Source organism: Homo sapiens, chromosome 4 (assembly GCF_000001405.40).
Source record: "Homo sapiens chromosome 4, GRCh38.p14 Primary Assembly".
Lineage (NCBI taxonomy): Eukaryota > Metazoa > Chordata > Mammalia > Primates > Hominidae > Homo > Homo sapiens.
Window position 1 is genome coordinate 12602439 of NC_000004.12, and position 22080 is coordinate 12624518.

Below are 22080 nucleotides of genomic sequence, written 5' to 3' on the forward strand. Positions count from 1 at the left end.
ATGAGACTCATTCACTATCATGAGAACAGCACAGGAAAGGTCCACCCCCGTAATTCAATTACCTCCCACCGGGTTCTTCTCATGACACATGGATATTGTGGGAGTTACAATTCAAGATGAGATTTGGATGGGGACACAGCCAAACCATATAATCAGTACAAAAGTAGTTGTGGTTTTTGCCATTGCTTTCAATGGCAAAAACCACAATACTTTTGCACGGATATATTATTATTTAATTGTATATCTAGCCATTCCATGATCTAGTCAAACTGACACATAAAATTAAAATTAACTATCACAGCTGTAATACCACAAACATTCATAATATCCCTTAATCTGAAAACAACCCCTCCTACCAATGTCTTTAGTCCCACCTCAATTGAGTTCTACTTGACAAACATTCTCTAAGACACATTTTATGCCCCAAGCACTGAGTTAGATGCTGAGGATACAGTTATGAATAAGACAGGGTCCCACTAACTCATAGGCCCATGTGAGAAGTAGCTGTAAGTAGATTATTTCAGTGTATTATTATAAACTCAGTAATAAAGATAGGCATTGAAAAAGCTACGAAAACAGGAGAGGGGGCCGGGCACGGTGGCTGACGCCTGTAATCCCAGCACTTTGGGAGGCTGAGGCAGGTGGATCACCTGAGATCAGGAGTTCTAGACCAGCCTGGCCAACATGGTGAAACCCAGTCTCTACTAAAAACACAAAAATTAGCCGGGCATGGTGGCAGGTGCCTGTAATCCCAGCTACTTGGGAGGCCAAGGCAGGAGAATTGCTTGAGCCGAGATTGCACCATCACACTCCGGCCTGGGGGACAAGAGCGAGATTTTGTCTCAAAAAACAAAAAAAGAAAGAAAACAAAACATAAGGATTCCCTAAATGAGGGGAATCTTTCTTCTATATTCATATCCAAAAAAATAGGATATCTATCATATCTTAAAAAACGCTCCTGCAAGGTGAGAATGTTATTGTTTGCTCAACAGTATCACTAAAAAGCCCTAAGCCATAAAATTATAAATTTCAAACTGACTTTAATTTTGAAGTTTAAGCAATTTCACCCACATAACAACCTCTAGAAATAGTGGCAACTTTTCTATTTCAATATAGGGTGCCAATTATCTCTTATAGCCTTTTAGCTTAAAGCAACAAACTATACTGACTTGATCCCCTTAGAATAATATGTTTTACTTACTAAATTCTTACATTTTCTGGTATTCTAGACTAGGGCATTGCTCATTCTCAACAGGGCACAGGTGAAAAAGGTGGAGAGTCTCCTGAAGCTAGGGATGGAGGTAAGGAGAAACAACGAAAGGCAGGAAGACATAGCTAGATAATGAGATGCTAAGCCAGCTCAGGAGTCAGAGTTTGAGTTAGGAGGTGATTAATAGCAAGGGTGTTTGGTTGTCAACTTTCTCTGAAAGCAGAGCAATCTCTGTGAGTAGGCCAGGCTAGTGTTCCCTTTGAAGCCTGGTCCACTGCTGGAAACCAGGTTGGTAACTCTTTCTGAAAAAGTCAATCTGACTAGCCAGGGAGGTAGTGCTGACCTCCACTCTCCCACAGGATGGCTGATACTGTATTATGCCCTGCCCTTCATGATTGGATATGGAAAGGAAACAAGCACAGCCACAACTGGTTGCACCACCTTGGTCTTTGGAGGTTACCATTAATCACACATTTAGAAAAAAGCAGCATGCCAGGAACGGAGAGAAAATGTCAGAAACATGGTGAGGGATTGTGAACATAGCAAATGGATTGCTATAGAAATTTTTAATGGAATATTTAAGATCTTGGAACAATAAAGAGATACTATGGAACAAACAAAGACAGGGCAAGATACATACGGATCAAGGAAAGCTCAATACCTTTGAACTTATTTAATGCTAAATGTTAAATTTTATGCCTCTGGGGTATTTCTTATATGGTCTATACCTTGCCTGTATCTCAGTTTTTCTCAAAGTAAGATGGACTGCTAATAATGCCTATTTTATTATAGAGTTCTGTGAAGGATTGTACAAACACATACACACACGAGTGTGTATATATACACATTTTAAAATTGTGGTGGCATGGCTCATAGAAATTCAGAAGGAATTCAATAAATATTCATTGCTGTTATTGTCTTTATTATTATTGTTTTTTTTTTTTTTTGCTTTAGTTCAACCATAACTCTTCTGCATTCCCAGTAATAGAGAGTGAGGGACCTGGCTCTTCTGCAGTTTTTCATTATCTGCTATGCCTCAAATTTATTATGTTAATCCAATCATTATAAGTTCTGCTTGGACACAAATACATATTAAATGTGATCCATGGGTCCAGAATTGTGATCGTCATTAGCTGACCCTTTCATTATGACTAAAAGAAGTATTTTAGTATTTTATTTTGTAGCTAGTGTCTGACGCAGTTTTAGTCTCCATGAGGTTACCACAACTGCCCACACTTCACAGAGAAGACAATTGAGAGTCAGGGAGGTTAACTCATAAAAACATCAAAACACCTGGGTAAATTGGAAGACCCTGGATTTGAAACGAGGGCTGTTGTGTGTGGAAGTTTGATCTCTGTACCCTTCCTTCTCCTGCTTCCCTATAATGTCCTCATCAAGAAGTCATAACTGAACCTCAGTTGCTCCATTTCTGCCTCCTGCCTTGCACTGCTTCCCAGCCCCAAGAAGTCATCGACTTGTGCTTCAGAAGGGTCTAAGGCATATTTCTTAATTCCACATTTGTTCACCATCCTTCTATTTCTTTCATCTGCTGAGCATTCAGACCTATCATCCCTCCGTTCCTTCAGTGAATGTCAACAGCCAGCTGGTGGAGCCTCCTTCACTCCCTCTAGTGAATTATCCCCCTAGATTGCTAACGCCTGGTGGTTCTCAAAGTGTGGTCTCTGGGACAGCAGCAGCAGCATAGCCTGGAAGCTTATTAGAAATACAGATTATCAGGCCCTATCCCAGACCTCCTGCATGATAAACTCTGGAAATAAGAACCTCTAGGTGAGCTTGATGCATGTTCAAGTTTGAATAACACTGTAATAGTTTAGTAATGTGAGCAACACACATATATACCCACCCCTTGTTCATTTGTACAATGCTGAATGAACCCTGTCTTGTTCCAATTCATGAAATCATGTAATGTAAAATTTTCTAAAATATGCTAAACTGTCACTGATATAAATTGAGCACGCTTATCAATTAGATGAGTACAATAAAATCGGACCTTTGGGAAGTGCTTGTTAATAGGATGGGAGTGGGGGTTGGAGAGAACACAGAGAGGACAAAAAATCGTTTGAACATATGAATACTGAGTTCTAAAGTAAATTGCTACATGTAAACGAAATTTAAGGAGTCTGAGTCACAAATAATACACCAGTTTTGAACACTCAAAAGGACTTATTCTTATGTTGATTTCTGGTGCATGTGCTCATTCACCACTTATTCTATACAACAAAGTCTAATTTTTGCTTTTCAAGTTCTTAAGGAAAACTATAGACCAATGCAGGAAATTGGGGAGAGGCCAATTCCCACAGAGACGAGGAAAATGTAATGATTCATAAAAGCTATAACCTGAGGAAGCACTGATTCGGGCCAGTGCTCATACAAAAAAAAAAAAAAAAAGTCTTAATGAGGGAAGAACAGTTAAACTTGGAGGAACTGAACAAAGTTCTTTCAAAAATCTGAAAAATTCAAAATTTTCAAGCACATATGGCTTGGACCCCCACATTTCAAAGAGGAGATAATAAACGTGTTTTTTCCCGGCCACCTCCCCCAAATGCACTTGTCACCATTCCCTTTCACATGCAGTTCCTTTTCTCTCCTCTACCTAAAAAATTCCTACGCATATGACAAGAAACTTGGGGAAGTGATCTTGTTTCTCACAATCCCAGACAGAGTTGCTGCTTTTCCTCTGTTCTTCCATTGTGCTCAACATTTTTCCAGAGAAGTGATTGTTATAATATCACACAGTTACACAGATTTTAAAATCAAGCTCAGACTCTGAGCTCCTTAGAAAGGGTGAGATAGAAAGAGTCAAGAAAGAGCTGCCGAATAAGCAGGACCTCATCTAGGGGCTCAAATATCTTAAATCTTTTTGTTCTAAAAAATTCAGAGAAACAGGAGAACAATTCCGCAATGTCAGTGCTAAGTAGGGCATCCTTGAGGCATATGCCTTCAGAGAAGGGAAGCTGGCCAGTTCCCTCTCCTAAATGGCTCTTTCCTCTTCTGTTCAGAACCACAGAAAGAGGCAGCCTATTACCATTATATTACTTTATCCCTCTTGAATTGCCCTTCCACCCCCCACATAAAACTCTTAGTGTCATCCGTCACCACACCTAGTCTAGCCCGCATTCAAGCCCTAATAAGTTTCTTTTTACCACAGGTGCTTATTGCTAAGACTTTAATGAGCTACAGATTGTATTTACTTCTCTTGTAAATTGTTCATTATCCTTGCAAGAAATGCCACTTTCTTGCCATTTCCATTACTGGAGATACTCAAACTGAATCACTTTATGTGTACTTTTATTTTATTTGCAAATCATATATATCCATCCTTCAATTTCAGTTATAGGATGAATCAAATATTTACAATGTTCTGATACCTTCAAATTTCTAAAATAAATTTTTCTGATCTTTTGTAAGCTGTAATAATTTTTTTCCAAAGACTATAGCACTTGGCCTTCAATTCGATTCATAAAATAACACAACGCATGAGGTGCATACACCCTAGAGTGGTGGAGAACAATGGCTCCAGAAACAGGCTGACATGCCTTTTACAGGGGCTGCTGATATTTCTAGGAGCGGGATATTTAACCTCTCTCATAACAATAATGGCTAATATTTATCCTAAACTCGCTTAGTGCAAGGTACTCTGCTAAGCACATAGCATGCATTATCAGCTTTACAATAACCATAATGCAAAAGTATTATTCTCTTTTAACAGATCAGGAATCTGAGACACAGAGAGGTTAAGCAACTTGCTCAAAATCACACAGCTAGTAAATAGGGGACCAAAATTTAAAGCCAGGCAAGGTGCCTCTGGGGTTCACTACTACTGCTTTTAAATGTAAGCCAACTCTTCTGTAAAATAGGGATAATAATATTACCATTCTCAGGGGTTCCTTAAAAGGAAAACCGGGGGGCTAAGATACACATCACAATGTCCGCCTGCCTAGCATGGAGAGAGGTCTCCTGAGAGAGGCCAAAATGAGGAACTTCCCAAGCACACAGGCAAGTGATGAATTAAAAGTTATGGAGAAAGAAAAGTCAAATAAATGATCAAGAATTTGAATGGGATATAGAAGTTGAGAGCAACTACACGTGAAATTTGGCAATTACAACCACAGTGCATGGCAAGCTTTTTAGGAATTTTCTAAAAACTTTTCAAAAATAAAACCTTAACATGTGGTTAGTTGTCTCTACCTTTTTGAAAGCTCAAATGCATCTAGTTGCTTCTTTACTCACCATTTTGGGAAATAATACCCGGTCCCTACTTGCAAAGCCCTGATAAAAGGAACACTCTTATCAGAAGTGTAAAAACATAAAACTTGTTATATCCAGTTTTCTATTCTTCTCAGGTTGTTCTTTTTTCCCCTGATCTTTCTTTTTGTATCCACCTTTATCTCCCTAATAATTGCCCAGCATTCTGGCAAAACTTTAAATGTTTTGCCATCATTAATGGAAGGAAGAGAAGTAACTTGTTAACTGTCATATCTGTACTAGGCATTGTACCAGGACCTTAGTGTAACCCACTCAATCCTCATAAACTCTGCAAGAAAGATCCTCCTATTCCATTTTACAGATGAGGAAATTTGCCTTAAGCCTGTGGAACTGACCTTACCCTTCAACTTGCCTGAGATCCAGACACAAACTCCAAGGAGTTCATTCTTACGTGAACCCGTATATAATACAGATTACATCACCAAAGAAAATCCCATGCATCCGTTCTAAAGAAAAATCCTTCTGTTCCCTTTTTACTTATTAATGCAGCAATTGCTTTTCTCTTGTGACTGTGTTTGCTTCTCCTAGGAAGAGACACCTGTCTTTGCTCAAGGTTTTTGTGACTACAGATTGATAAACAGTTTCTTTCTCTGGTTTCTAGACTTCATGGGGCTTGCTTGCTTTTGGGATCTGATGCCCTCAAAGGCAGAGCCAGTGGTCCTTATTAAGAGATTCCCAAGTTTAGAACTGTGTTTAGAACTCGAATTCCCAACATTCATTTGCTAACTTTTAATTAGCATATTTGCTAACTTTTAATTAGCATGGTTTGGCTAAAGGCAAGATACAGGTCCAATAAACTGAGTGCTGTCAGGTCCCCTTCCCAAATCTGGCCAGGTGCTTGTACGCAGGTCAAATAATCTCTTCTCTGTCTTACCATTTCGGCCTCTGCCATACAGAATGTTGTTAACATACCTTAATTCTGAATCATGATATTCCTGTTCTTCCTGAGGATTTTTTTTTTCCTCTGACTCTTACTTTTTTCTAGGGCTGAAATTAGGTCACTATTTCTAGAATGGCATGGTTTTATTTTCCTTTTTCCCTTTTCTAGGTTGCCAGCAATAAAATAATAGAAGCTGACGTCCTAAAATGGGAGATAGAGGAAAACTGCGTTCCCATTTTTATATCAGAAATCTAAGCTCCCCGAAGGCTCTAACAGAGATAATTTCCTTTCATTCTAAAATTGTCTCTAGAATAGCATATAGGCATAGAATATAGCATTTTTCACTGCATTTTTTTTAACATGTAGGTAGGTTGATTTCAAAGACTCAGATGAATCCCTGAGGAGATATTACCACAAAGGAAAATAACCAAAAAGACAGTATGCACTAAGCACTTAAGTGAGCTAGCAGTTTGCACTCAGTCACAAAAATGAAAATAAAAGCAATATGAAAGGGAAGAACACTGACCTAGGAAGCAGAATGCATGCATCTGACTCCTTCTGGAGTGTGACTCCACATTAGTCACATTGTCCATCTGGCCTGCTGCCTTCAGCTGCACAAAATGTCAATGGTGTTGTTGAGAGGTGACAGCATGCTGGCAGCGCTCGCAGCCCTTGCTCGCTCTCGGCGCCTCCTCGGCCTTGGCGCCCACTCTGGCCGCGCTTGAGGAGCCCTTCAGCCCGCCGCTGCACTGTGGGAGCCCCTTTCTGGGCTGGCCAAGGCCGGAGCCGGCTCCCTCAGCTTCCGGGGAGGTGTGGAGGGAGAGACGAGGGTGGGAACCGGGGCTGCGCGCGGCGCTTGCGGGCCAGCGAGAGTTCCGGGTGGGCGAGGGCTCGGCGGGCCGCATTTAGAGCAGCCGGCAGGCCTGCAAGCCCCGGGCAGTGAGGGGCTTAGCACCTGGGCCAGCAGCTGCTGTGCTCGATTTCTCCCCGGGCCTTAGCTGCCTCCCTGCAGGGCAGGGCTCCTCGGGACCTGCAGCCCGCCATGCCTGAGTCTCCCCCACCTCCCCCCGCCCCTTATTGCTTCGATTATTTATCTGCATGTTTATAAGCTCTGGCATAAAAAAAAAAGGAAAAAAGGAAAGGAAAAGGGGGAAAAATAAGCAAATAAACTAAAACTTTCCTTTGCAAGTAGAAAATACCCCTTATTGCTTCGATTATTTCAAGCTTAGAATCTTTCAGAGTCCAGAGGCAAGCATGAGAGTCATAAAAGATGAGGTTTGGTTTATAAAACAAACTTCGTCCTGTATTTCAATCCATTTGATCTCACCAGAGTACCAGCTCGGAGGACATTGTTTTAAATGTTATTTGCTCACGGCCCAGGCAAACAGACTTGCCTCCCAAAGACGTTACCTTGTTAAGAAATACAAGACCTCCCTAATAAAATCCAGGTGATTTATAGCATGTACACAGAGGAAACAAATTTGGGGTAAAAATTGACAGTTATGCAAGTACATCAGAAGTGCCAGCCGCTGCACCGAGGTTCCCTCTGGAAAGGAATTTGCCCTCTCGCTGGGAACCATCTGCATAGGAGTGGGAAGACCCACTCTGAGGAAATCTCCCCGTACCTGCATGCTAAAAGAATCTAAACAGACTCTTCTAAAGTCCTCTTTCATGCAGCTAATAAGACAAATAGTACTTTTAAATATTAATTCAGAATAAAAAATAATTGAAAATATCAATAAACATTCAGTGTTTTGAAAATTAAGCTTGAGTACGCCTTCCTGTAGGCATCCTTCTCCGATCATGCCCCACACCCATATGAAATGGACGAAAGGCTTCTCCTGATGGTGTGTATCTATGAGAGCATTCTCTGCTTATTTTTTTTATAAAAACTGATACACTGTAATTTAATTATTGCTTTTATTTCTGTTTTGTTCTCTTATTTGAATGTGTATTATAAATATGTGGTTCAGCTTGTGATGTATAATAGGCACTTAATAAATTGTTAAAAGAATGAATGAATTCACAAAGCACTTGCACACACCTTTTCCCATTTAATGAGTACAATTATCCTGCCGAGTGAAAGCACAGAAAATTGTATTCGTACCCCACTTTTATGGAAGGGAGGGAGCACAAAAACTCAGGAGCATGAATTACAAAGATTACAAATCAAGACAATGGCAGAAGGAGTGCCTCAAGTTCTGCTGTCTCAAGCTGCCTTGACTGCACATAGGAGGACTGTGAGTTTCAGGTCTAGTGCCCGCGTCTCCTCGGACTGTAAACGATGTCAGGCACCTGGGCATTCCTAGTCTTGTGGCTTTGAAAAAAAATTGCTAGACCCTTTCTCAACATTATCTATCTGAAGTAAGTGAGTAAGTACAGGTGAAGGTGTGATAGAAAATGAAATCCCTAAATAAGATAACATGTCAGCCATTTATAATCCATGCAGAATGGTAGGGCCAAAAGAGCCATGCGTTCATTTTTTCAGGGGGAGTCTATTGGGAGGATAATGATCTCGTTTCCACTCCTAATACCCAACCTTCCCTAGCAATTTACTCTCCACATTGTAGCCAAATGACCTTTCCAAAAGGCAAATCTGGTGTTCCCTAACTTAAAATCTTTCAAGGGCTCCTGGTATTGCAAACCTTTAGTTTTGTCACATGATCCTATGATGGGGTCCCTGTTCAGTTCTCCAGCCTCATCAGGACCCAATCTCCCTACTGTGTACACGCTTGTATCATTGATCTTTTACACTTACTCAAAACAAATATGTAATGAACAGTAGATAAATATACACACATATATGCATATTTCCTATGCATTGTGCATAGTGTATGAGCAAATGTTAGGTCTTTTGCAAAATGAAATAGCTTACATGAGACATTATTATAGCCATTTAAAATAGCGCCCCAAATGTAAATTAGTTTAACCATTGTGGAAGGCAGTGTGACAATTCCTCAAAGTCCTAGAACCAGAAATACCATTTGAGCCAGCAATCTTATTACTGGGCATATACCCAAAGAATATAAATCATTCTATTTTAAAGATACATGCACGTGTATATTTACTGCAGCACTATTCACAATAGCAAGACATGCAATCAACCCAAATGCCCATCAATGATAGACTGGATAAAGAAAATGTGGTACATATACACCATGGTATACTATGCAGCCATAAAAAGGAACGAGATCATGTCCTTTGAAGGGACATGCATGGAGTTGGAAGCCATTATCCTCAGCAAACTAACACAGGAACAGAAAACTAAACATCGTATGTTCTCATTTATAAGTGGGAACTGAACAATGAGACCACATGGACACAAAGAGGGGAACAACACACACTAGGCCCTGGGGTGTGGGGGGAGAGTAGCAGGATAAATAGATAACATGTGTGGGGCTTAATACTTAGGTGATGGGTTGACAGGTGTAGCAAATTACCATGGCACATGTTTACCTATGTAACAAACTTGCACATCCTGCACATGTATCCCAGAACTTAAATTAAATTTAAAAAATAAGACAGTACCCACATATTCAATTATTTTCTTATTTAGGAAACATCTATTGAGATCTATAGCTATAATTATACTTATATCTATTTCTTACTTGGGAAAGCCTGCCTGACTTCTTAGAGTAATATAAATCTCTCTGTTCTAGTCTACTAGAGGACTCTAGGACTTCATAGTTCTTCTTTCATAAGACTTGTCAACCTTTTTCAATGTCTACCTCCACAATAGACCGTAAGTTCTGTGAGGCCAGAGAAACTGTTCACCTTATTTATCACTACTCAGAATTTAGTAGAGTTCCTGTCACATAGCAAGTGCCCAATAAATGTCTATTGGAGAAATAAATGATGAAGAGATGTATGAATGTAACCTGCTGGGCTTGGGTCGAGTGAGGGAGATAGACAACAGAAATACAGCGTGATTAGTGTGATCAATGTTGTGAAACAGGATGGACAGCTATGGCTTTGTCTTTGAAGCATTCAATTATTTTTCTCTTACTTGCTTGAAGAATCAGACTTTCCTCTCTACTTTTGGCACCACTGGTTCAGGTAGCCTGACCCCAAAGCTTTGTCCTCAGGATGTGCGTATGCTGAACAAGATATTTAAATTTACTTCTGGGACTTTGATAGGAACTAATAGGCAAGTGAGAGTTTCTTCCCTCTAGAGTTGTCTGGTGGTAGAATGTAAGCCTAGATCTGCAGGGAGCTATCTTTCGACCACACACGGAGAGTCCACCTAAGAATGAAATCAATATCCGTGAAGGAAGAATTGAGCTAGCAAAACAGAGATCAAATTTCAAAGACACTGCAGGAACATTTCTGTGAGGTCAGGCCTAAATTTAGTCAGCCTCTTGACTTTGTATTTTAATTAAATAGTCCACTTTAACTGAAATTAAATTTAACTTCAGTTAGTTTGGATTGAATTTTTGTAAGCTGCAATGAAAAATGTTTGAACTCATTTATCAAGGCAAGCACAGGAGGCAACAGAGAACTCCATTGCCTACAGGTGGGAGAGAGGGCTGTCACGTAGCAAGTGCCCAATGAATGTCTATTGGAGAAATAGTCTACATTGGGGAGGTTTTATTTTCTGAAAGTATTAACAACTCTAGTTTGGGTTAAGCTACACATAAATCTTAGCCCAAACTAGAATTTTTAATATTTGCAGACAATTCACTTGAGCCGAACACTAATCATTTTGTGGACACCCATGCCTTTGATAGAGGGTATGAGCCATACAGAAATATATGACTTTATCTCCTAGAGCTAAAATATACCTGAGGCCCATACACATATTTATTCTGCATTTTTTTTCCTTTTTCACTTCCCAATTATCTAGGGCTTAGAGGGAAACATAATAAAGGTATGCACCTAACAGAATAGTGGAAAAACACCAGATTTGTAACCTACTCTGGTTATACCAGGTACAACTAGTATTAAAATATCATCGGTAAATTTATTAGTTTCTCTCAGTTTTGCAGACTCCCCACTTCCTTATCTGTAAGACTAGGACAGCAATACCTACTTCAAATGAATGGGATAAAATACAACAAATGTCTAGCACAGATCTCGGTAATAACAATAAGCACTTAAGAAACTTTAGTTTAGTTAGCTAAAATGTTCCCCTAGAGAATACTGGATCCTGAATTTTTGCTGGGAAAAAATTACATTATTTCTCTAACTTAAGCATAATGCCTAATACATTGTGGACACTCAGCATTTGTGGAGAAAATAGAAGTTTCTAAAAAGACAAGCATAGGCTCACTGGACCCAGTTTGTTTCCAGTCCATTGCAGTGAATTCTGCATTCACCACTTCACATATATTATGGGAACATCTCACCACAAATTCCAGTAGATGTGTTTTAGTTTTTATCACTATCCAGCATTAAATTCTGTGGGTCTTCTCTCTCTTTCTTTCTTTCTTTCCTTCTTTCTTTCTTTCTTTTTCTTTCTCTTTCCTCTCTTCTTTCTTTCTTTTTCTTTCTCTTTCTCTTTCCCTTCCTTTTCTTTTCTTTTCTTTCTTTCTTTCTTTCTTTCTTTCTTTCTTTCTTTCTTTCTTTCTTTCTTTCCTTCTTTCTTTCCTTCCTTTCCTTCCTTCCTTTCCTTTCTTTCCTTCCTTTCCTTTCCTTCTTTTCTTTCTTCTTTTTGTTCTTTGTTTCCCCTCTAGTGCCTCATCACTTGCACAAGCTTTCATTCCATTCATCTTTTACATTTTCACTATAATGATATATTATATTCCATTGCATCTTTGCTTAAAGCCTTTAAGTATTATTGTTGCAGGAAAGGGGTCTCAATCCAGGCCCTAAGAGAGGGTTCTTGGATCTTGCACAATAAAGAATTTAGGGAGAGTCCATAAAGTGAAAGCAAGTTTATTAGGAAAGTAAAGGAACAAAAGAATGGCTACTCCATAGACAGAGTAGCCCCGAGGGCTGCTGGTTGCCCATTTTTATGGTTATTTCTTAATGATATGCTAAAAAAGGGGTAGATTATTCATGCCTCTCCTTTGAAAACTATATAGAGTAACTTCCTGACATTGCCATGGCATTTGTAAACTGTCATGGTGCTGGTGGGAGTGAGTGTAGCAGTGAGGATGACCAGAGGTTACTCTTGTGACCATTTTGGTTTTGGTGAGTTTTACCCAGCTTCTTTACTGAAACCTGTTTTATCAGCAAGGTGTTTATGACTTGTATCTTGTGCTGACTTCTTATCTCATCCTATGACTCAGAATGCCTTAACTGCCTGGGAATGCAGCCCAGTAGGTCTCAGCCTCATTTTACCCACCTTCTATTCACAATGGAGTTGCTCTGGTTCAAACGTCTCTGACATTATCATCATTCATGCTCTAATTCACAATTCTTCAGTGTGTCGCCGAAGGCACCCCATGGTCTGTATTCTTCTCTATACACACAGTATCAAGCTACTCACTGTTCCCTGGTGATGGTGTACTAGCTCTTTCTCAAGGCTTCTGTGCTTTCACTCTGCCTGAAATCTTCTCCTCAAGCTGATCATCATTCCCAGACCAGCTCACTCATCCTCTGGGAATCCTCCCTTCCTGTGTGCTGAGCTCCATACCTCCTTCTGGCTCAGTTGATAACTCTCTCCTTGAGTCTTTTTCTGTAGCACATTCTATAATGGCACCTACCGTTTCCTTCTGCAGGTACTGTATGCTACAGAAAGAGGTCACTTTTTATTTATTATTCCTCCAATTCCCCAATCCAGCTGAGGAGATAATAAGTTACTGATAATATGGTGTTTAATGTATTAACTGAATGAAGCTGTAGCTCCTGCTAGACTTTCTAAAAGTTTGTAATGGAATAGTCTCAAATAGTTTCACGTGCAGAAATTAATTTTAATAAGCCATGAGATATAAATAAGGATAGTTGCTTTGCAACATCTTTGCATGGAGGTGTACAAATTAATCTGGAGCAAAAAGGAGATGAGAGAATGTAGCTTTCAGGAACTAGTGGAAAACTCTTTTGAGTCATAGTTTATATTGTGTCTTCTCTTTATTAGTAATAATAATACAGATCTTCTGGGCTGCAATTTAAGTAATAAATCGTTATAGTGACTAGGAATTTGGTGTGAGCATGAATTACAGGTGAAGGCACCAGTACTCGTAAATACAAGAAGATCGTTACTCATTGCACAGATATTTGTTGAGTATGTGCCCGGCACTGGGTAAAGGATATAGCTGCAGGTCTGATCCATGCCCTCAGGCAGGCAGAAAGGAATCCATGAGGACTCCCCGTGACTCACTGGAGCACCTCTTAGTATATTCTCTTCTCTAATTATTAGGGTAAAAAAATAGGCAGAGCAGCCACTGACTGAGAAGCACACAATACTCAGGCGGTCGGTCTCTCAGGGATGAGGGTCTGGGTTTGTAAGCCCTCATGACCAGAGGTGATGGTAGCTGGGGAGAGAAGGAGCCTAGAATGGACAATGAAGGAGGGAGGTGACCAGTATCAATCACAGCCCTGAAGGACACACTGGAGCTGAAGCCTTCTAGCTCCAGTGTGTCCTCTAACTTTCATCTTACAGCTTCCCCTCAATAGGAGAGGCCACCAGAATTCTGGCGGAACTGTTCCCTGAATGCACGTGGATAGATGAATATGGATGTTCACAGTAGAGTTCTGCAGTGGGCCTGGAGACGCACTGCTCAGATCCCCTTCATTAAGGCTGCATTATCTAGCCCTAGGAAGTGTGGTCAAGTGACAGTCTCCAGCTGCTATATTCTCCAGAGTCTGCCCCTGCTGGGGAGATCTCTGTTTCATGAAGGCCATGTCCTTTGCAAGGCAGCTTCCATCTGGTGACTGAATGAAGGGAGGTGAGTATAAAGCTGGCAGATCAGGAAATTGAGGTTTTCTAGTATGCATATAAGTTGACAGTGGGTAAGCTTTCACTGTATGAATATAAGCCTATAAGGGATGTGAATGAATGACACCTATTCAGGGATGGTCTTGATAGATAGTTGTGAGGGAAATTTATCCCACTGAGCAGAGATTTGGGTGGTGTCTTATGCCATTCTTGTGTCACTAGAAAGAAATACTTGAGACTGTGTAATTTATAAAGAAAAGAGGTTTAATTGGCTCACGGTTCTGCAGACTGTATGGAAAGCATGATGCTGACATCTGCTCCATTTCTGGGGAGGCCTCAGGAAAGTTACAATCAAGGCAGAAGGGGAAGGGGAAGCAGGCATATCACATCGCCAGAGCAGGAGCAAGAGGGCGAGTGGAGAGGTGCTATACACTTTTTTTCTTTTTTTCTTTTTTTTTGAGACAGAGTCTTGCTCTGTCACCCAGGCTGGAGTGCAGTGGCACGATCTTGGCTCACTGCAACCTCTGCCTCCCGGGTTCAAGCAATTCTCCTGCCTCAGCCTCCCAAATAGCTGGGATTACAGGTGTACAATGCCATGCCTGGCTATTTTTTTTGTATTTTTTGTAGACACGGGGTTTCACTATGTGGGCCAGGCTGGTCTTGAACTCCTGACCTCAGGTGATCCACCCGCCTCAGCCTCCCAAAGTGCTGAGATTACAAGTGTGAGCCACTAATGACCAGCTCACATGAGAACTCACTCACTGTTGTGAGGACAGTACCATGAAGAATGGCATTAACCATTCATGAGAAATCTGTCCCCATGATCCAGTCACCTCCCACCAGGCCCCATCTCCAACACTGGGGATTACAGCTGAACATGAGATTTGGGCAGGAACACAGATCCAAACCATATCAGGTGGTGCATTTGGTTATCTATTTTATATCAAAAAAGAAGTTCCCTGAGGTCAGATTATATATGAAACTTAGAGAGTGGCAAATGACCTGGCTGACTGGCAGGAGTGTGGAAGAAAAAAGATTGGAAGTTCAGTAACAAGTAGGTCTAGGGTAGAGGGATGTGGACAGACAAGAAGATGGAGGAGAGCACCAAGCAGGAAGTCTTTATATGTTGATTTTCACCAGTGAGCATTTGCCATGAAAGAGGCACTAACCAATTAAGGAGACAAATACCTTGGCCACATGGGGTAAGCCAGCTTCTATACTGGCCACCCCAGTTCTGGAAGAATTGGAGTATAAATGAAGAGGCCATGGTGACAGAGAGGAAGGATGTACATGGGCCCCACAGCATGGACCCCCAGCCCTGCTGTTAGCCAAAGCTGGTCTAGCTATTGCCGTGGCCAGAGTTCAACCTATCATCAAGAGTGCAATTCTTACTCTCCGTATGTCACCATTTCTTGAGGATACCAAGTGGCCACTTGATAGCAAGATATCTACATTGGATTCCATCCACTCTTAGAAGTCAGCGATTCATCTTGGCAAGAGGAGACAAATGAATACACATGTATTCTGGGTTTAGTTATCGGTTTTCCTTCCCTTCTTGCAAGGCCTCAGGGTAATTTTGTGTAGACCCCTGATTACAGGATCCACTTTTCATATCACATATTTTGCTATTTTTGACTCAGAATTGTATATATGTTGCAGTGTCACTGGTTAGAATACACGGGATGAGGAAACTGAAGGTAGAAACAAGAGTGGCTCTGCTTGCCATCTCTCCCAGTGACCCATGTGGAAAACCTGTGCTTCCTGTCCCCATGCCATGAGTGAGGGTATAATTAGCTTCTTTTACAACCAGGTCTCTCTCACACTCCACTCTGTCTCTGTGGCCCTCAGCTTATAGTTCTGCAAGGAGTCCCCTTAAATCTCTGCTCATCTGAGTTGAAGTGAGAGGAAAAGCATAATTTTTGTCACCACCATGAAAGGAAGGAGAACACTCTGGAACTCAGTATCTCTAAGGAAATGCTTCTACCTGGCCTGTCAAAGACAAAACTTGAGGTCTAAAGGACAGGAAGCCAACAGTGGAATGCAGGAGCTCCTGCTCTTCCATTCTTTGTTGTATTCTTGGCTTTTAGATGCCTCAGAGAAGACCCAAAAAAAGTCTTATTTTAAATCCTGTCACACGGTTAAAAACGTGTGCTAAGGATCAGACCTGTGGGCTTTGGATTCCAGGGCAAGGAACTGGAAGACATTAAAAATTCTTCAAACTAATTTTTAGTGATGTTTGTTCCTGCCTTTCTATTTATTTCTTTGTCTCTGCTTCCAGATTCTGCCAAAGCTCAGAAATTCTAATTGCACTGGCACTTTGAAGCCCAGCAGAAATTTGTTTTTTTATTACATGCCTCAAATAATAAATCAGCTCCTATTGATTTGAAACTTGACTGAGTTCTTCTAAAAAGACTTAAATTTCTTTCCTGGGTTTTTAGATTGGACCAATTTTACTCAGTTTTGAATTTCATTATGAATTGCCTTCTGCATTCAATGGAAAGCCGATTTCCCTCTCAACCCTACCAAATGCATTTCTCCAAATTGCAGCTGAACCTTTCTTAATGGGATGTCAGCAAACTCCATGATAAATATTGATCCTGTGTTCAGCGATTCTAAGCTAAAACATTTCCCATTTTCATGTGTTTCACCATTGTGGAGGCAAGTCCTCCAAAGAAGAGGCTAGTCTTCACCTTTCATCAAATAACTAGTATAATAATCTAACTAGTGGTATATAAATAATCTAACTAGTATAATTTAAGTAATCTAATGAGCCAGGATAATCTGAGAGGGTTTTCAAATGCCTTCTCCCAAAATCAACTGCTAGAACTTCAGTCCAAAATCAAAGGCATATTAAGAATTTTTTGTGTCAGTAAGAGGATTACAAAGACATATTTAATATATACACCCAGGAAGGAAAAGGAATTTCTTTTCATTGAAGGAAAATTGATTATTTAGCCTAAGACTACAAATGTAAATACCTTAATGCCATAGAGAATTTAAACTGAGAGGGGATAATGAAAAAATGTCATCCATTTTTTATTACTATGGCAAGAGACTTTTGTCTCTTTGCTCTCTGAGTCTTTCTAAATTCATCTCTCAACTCTAAGCATGTGAATCTTCGCCCCAAAATGAAAAGGTATCCTGTTAGATCTGAGCCCTCTCCCTCCCAATTTTAGTAGGTTCAATGGTTTAAATTTTCAAAGTCTTAATCTAGGGATCTAGACCCTTTGCATTCTGATTCCAGCTTATTCATACAGACTTATTTCCCCAGCTCCCCAAGAATCCACCCTTTCCTTAAGCACCATTAGCTGATTAGGATACAGAATATTACAGCTTTACCCTGTCTGCATCTCACAGCACCCAGTCCTCTCAAATATTTTCATAATTTATACATATCATAAAACAGATCTTTAGACAAGGATGTGTGAGCATACTTATTTGGGAGGTGATCTCTGGAAACAGGGCTGAGGGAATGGGAAGATCGAGACATGGAAAGGGAAACATGCATTATAAACCAGGTTCCTATGGTGAATGCCTGGGGCTCTGTGCTCCTGGGAATTTTCTATGGAACCTGCCAGGATGAGCTTCAGCATTATCTCTCTGAATGATGAAAGGAGAGCATCCACTCCCTGGCTCTCATTCTCCAGTAGTAAAGAATTCCCTTGCAGGCATTTATTCACCCACCCTCCTGAGCTATACCACTTACATGAGCGAAGCAGCCTTCAGTGGTTTGGGCCCATCTTCAGTGGTTTGGGCCCATCTTCCATTGATACTCAAGAGAAAGCCCAAGAGGTTCATGTTTGCTTTCCCCCTGACCCTGAGTTCACACACAATTTCTAGCTTCTTGTTTTACAGTTTTTCAGTGGCTCACAGGTTCTATTAATTGCCTTATGATGATTTCTCAAATATGATATGGGTTTAGGACCTCTTGGTTTCAGCTCCATAGCTAGTAGCTCTTCCATCAACTAAATGGTCTTCCCTATAATCACCAAGCAGTTCTTTTATTTTTACAAATGCTCAGAACTATCTTTCTATGAAGTTTATTTTCCCACCTCCTCTATTTAACCACCCATATCTATTTTGCTTATCAAATATGGCTTATAATTCAAAGCCTCACTTGGCTGCTGCATCATCCATGAAATGTTCTCTGATTTCCCCAATATGATATGATACCTCCTTTCCATTATTAATGCATTGCTGTGATTATAAGTAAAAGAGTATTTTTTACCCAATAAAATTCAAAGGTCAACTGAACATCCTGTGGTTTCAAATTCAAAAGCAGTAGAAAAATCACCCTCCCCAAGCATTCCAGGAATACTAGAATGGTGTGGGGGTGACTTACAGATGATCAGTTTCTGTTTCCTCTGATTTAATTTTGTTTGTGAGTCACTTGCATTTGGTGTCTCTATTTAGGCTCATGTCAAAACAAATCTGATATGTAGCTCCCTTCTCTTAAGTCCAGCAACAACAATAACAGTAACATAGCTCTCTATTAGCCTTTATTTGCCTAGAAGACTAACAAGGCTTCTAATGTATCATTGAAATAAAAAAATTTTATTGGCCATTCATGCCAATAGAGATTCAGATTTCCTCCATGATAATGAGCACCTTTAAATCTTCTATACCTGCATTCTGTCATGCCTCTCTCCCCATCAGTCTTAAATCTATGTTGATTTCACATGCCAAGTTTGTTTCTTTTACATCATGTTCTCAACCCTCAATTTCAACATCAGTGTGGCCATCAAGGGCAATTGATTTCCTCCAAGGAACACTGATAGGGCTAGTAAAATAATATTTTGCCTTTAAAGTATAGATATCAATAGAAGACAGACATGAACCTGATATCGATGACTTCTAAGAGAGAGTCTTGCTGGGTCTGACTCTACTTTAAAGGCTTAGACTTTTACCAGCACCTAGGCACAATAAGGCACTGAGATAATGACTCACTGAACACACAATACAAAACTGGTATGTTCTCAGAGTATCAATTTATGATGATAAATGTAACGATCTTGTTGGCCAGAGATATTCAGATCTCTTGTATATCTTTTCTTCTTCTGTGGCCAATGAACTTGGGAACCCATATTATAACTAGGAACTGTTATTAATTAAACTATGAGAAATCATTATGACAGGGAATAGCAACGTTTAAAATCTTTGTCATTAGTGCAATATCTTCCTGATACCCCTTGGCAAATACAGAAAGAACAAGGACCCCATAAAAAGTTAGAATTCCATAATCAATGGTAATTGAGCTATATATCTACAGTAAGTCCTTGCCAATGGCAAGTGATTGATTGGACACTGCTAACATTAATTTTTCTGATTCTTCTCTTTCTGTGTTACCTGCCATATCCAACCTCATTCTGATTGAGACATTGCTTTGTAAGTATATTAATATGTTCAGAAATGTTACTCTTACATCTTGTTGTCAGAGGAACCACCCTCCATTTCAGGACATTTTACAATTTTTCGCATTGTCTTTTATATGTTATCTTACAGCTTAATTTCCCTCTATTCCAAGCTACATATTTTGGTTTAGAAAAAGCACTGATACTCTATAATTGCTAGCTTTAATCTTAAAATTCTCCTTATATAAATAAAATGTATGTTACATTTTATTATTTCCCATTTTATTATCTATATGTAAGTCTGTAACATGTTTTACTCCATTGACATTTGCCTTATTGTAGATATTTTTCTATATGCCCAAAGTTTTCTCTTAAATTATGAACTCTTTGATGACAGGAACAAAATTTAAGGCCAGTTGAGTAGAGACCTAGAGGGAAGTTAACTACCCTACATAAGGCAAAATGTAAAGGAGCAGCTAGTGGTAGGCATTTTGTAGAGCACATGGAAAAAGGTGAAAAATTGTCTTAAAATATCATTAATAAGAACTCATATCATTATGTTGAAATTTGAGGAATTACAGATGCAATATTTTTGAAAAGGAATAATATTGTCCTCGATCCATGGCTATGCCAAACCAGTGAAGGGTATGAAATGAGAACAGTACTCACTGGACACTTCAAGGTGAATTGAAAGACCCAGAGTGACAGAGGAATTCCATTCAAGAAGAGGGATATGATTTGCCAGATGGAATGAAAAATACATTTGACGTCAAATGATTGACACGTATCATCACTGCATGAGTATCTGCAATTAAAAAGAAAAAGAGGTCAGGTGAAGTAGCTCAAGCCTCTAATTCCAGGAGTTTGGGAGGCTGAGGAGAGAGGCAATCCTCTCTCCTCAGCCTGGGCAAGATAGTGAGAACTCTTCCAACCTGTGTGACAGAGAGAGACCCTGTCTCAGATAGATAAATAAATAAATAAAGGTATGGCAACTCAAAGATCTAGGACTAGAAATGCCATTGGACCCAACAATCCCATTGCTGGGTGTATATCCAAAGGAATAGAAATCATTCTACTACAAAGATACATGCTCATGAATGTTCATTGCAGCGCTATTCACAATAGCAAAGACATGGAATCAACCCAAATGGCCATCAATGATAGACTGGATGAAGAAAATGTGGTACATTTACACAATGAAATACTACACAGCCATAAAAACGAATGAGACCATGTCCCTTGCAGGGACATGGATGAAGCTGGAAGCCATTATCCTCAGCAAACTAACACAGGAACAGAAAACCAAACACCGCATGTTCTCACTTATAAGTGGGAGCTGAGCAATGAGAACATGTAGACACAGGGAAGGAAACAACACATACTGGGGCCTGTCAGGGGTGGGGGGCAGTGGGGAGAAGGAGAGCATTAGGAAAAATAGCTAGTGCATGCTGGGCTTAATACATAGGTGATGGGTTGATAGGTACAACAAACCACCATGGCACAGGTTTATCTCTGTAAAAAACCTGCACATGCTGCACATGTACCCCAGAACTTAAAATAAAAATTAACATTAAAAAAAGAAAAGCAAAAGTGGTAAGTCTCTGGTGGTTAAAGCTTTAGGGAATTTCCTCCCAAGTTTGAGGTACAGCTCTCCCACTTGCTACTGAGACACATTGGTAAATTTCTGTTTCTTCATTTGTACAATGAGGATGATAACACCTACCTTTGAGAGCTGTTGTGAAGATGACATCATGTCGCTTCAGATTTATGGAGTACTAACTGTGGTCCAGGCACTCTCTAGACACTTGCTTGTAGCATTTCAAGCACTCATTTCAAGGGTACTGAGATAGTTGTCATTGCTTACCAGTATTTCATGCAATCGTTTTAAGGGTACTGAGATAGATGCCATTGCTTACCGTGGAGAAAAGGGAAGCACAGAAAGATCGTTCAGGGTCATGCAGGTGACACATGTTGGAGCTGGAATTTGAACCCAAGCATTCAGATCCCAGAGGATCCCCTGCTCTTACCCAGATGACTGACTTGTAAATGACTTACCATCTCATTAGTTTCTTTAAATGAGATAATGCACAAAAGTCTTTCTATCAAAGCTTAAAACATAAAAAACCATGAAAATTATTGGAATGAGTGTCAGACCACCTTAATTCTGGTTTTTGCTGTGCCACTAAACGGACGTGTAGTTTTGTGCAAACCAATTCTCTCTGGGATTCATTTCTCTCACCTGTAAAATGAAGCATTTTCTGTGACATTGCCTGAGCTTACTTTTTGCTCCAATGGCCTATGATTTCTATGCAAATTTAAGGGCTATTTATTAAACACCTTACAGGCTACACTGAGCACACCTTAAAGACTTTAAACTTTGTTTCCTGGGTGCTTAGTTTTACCAAGTATTTTAGAGAGGATGCTAGATTTCAGGGGAATTAACAAGGCTAGAAATTTCATTTGCATTTTTTTTGCTTGATCCAAGCACTAAGAGAAAGAGAAAAAAAATCAAGTAAAAATTTTATCTTTTTTT

At 39.9% G+C, this 22080-nt stretch overlaps 1 long non-coding RNA gene across 2 annotated transcripts in view, besides 2 other annotated features; it reads right to left on the reverse strand.

Moving 5' to 3' along the window:
• The window catches only part of LOC105374492 (uncharacterized), a 153067-nt gene extending 132597 nt beyond the window's left edge, over positions 1-20470 (reverse strand). The window contains exon 1 of one of the 2 annotated variants that reach the window (XR_001741374.1): positions 20217-20470. This is a non-coding gene — a long non-coding RNA (uncharacterized LOC105374492). Of the gene's footprint in view, positions 1-6903; positions 7381-20216 lie in introns of those variants that run through there. The other variant, XR_925406.4, reaches the window with a different exon arrangement.
• Positions 6739-7254: an enhancer, noted in NCBI's record as "H3K27ac-H3K4me1 hESC enhancer chr4:12610801-12611316 (GRCh37/hg19 assembly coordinates)". NCBI's record gives its function as "activates a minimal SCP1, AML or CMV promoter by ChIP-STARR-seq in naive H9 embryonic stem cells {active_cell/tissue: H9 hESC(naive)}" and the evidence as "EXISTENCE:reporter gene assay evidence [ECO:0000049][PMID:30033119]".
• Positions 7255-7769: an enhancer, noted in NCBI's record as "H3K27ac-H3K4me1 hESC enhancer chr4:12611317-12611831 (GRCh37/hg19 assembly coordinates)". NCBI's record gives its function as "activates a minimal SCP1, AML or CMV promoter by ChIP-STARR-seq in primed H9 embryonic stem cells {active_cell/tissue: H9 hESC(primed)}" and the evidence as "EXISTENCE:reporter gene assay evidence [ECO:0000049][PMID:30033119]".
• Positions 20471-22080: the final 1610 nt, after the last annotated feature.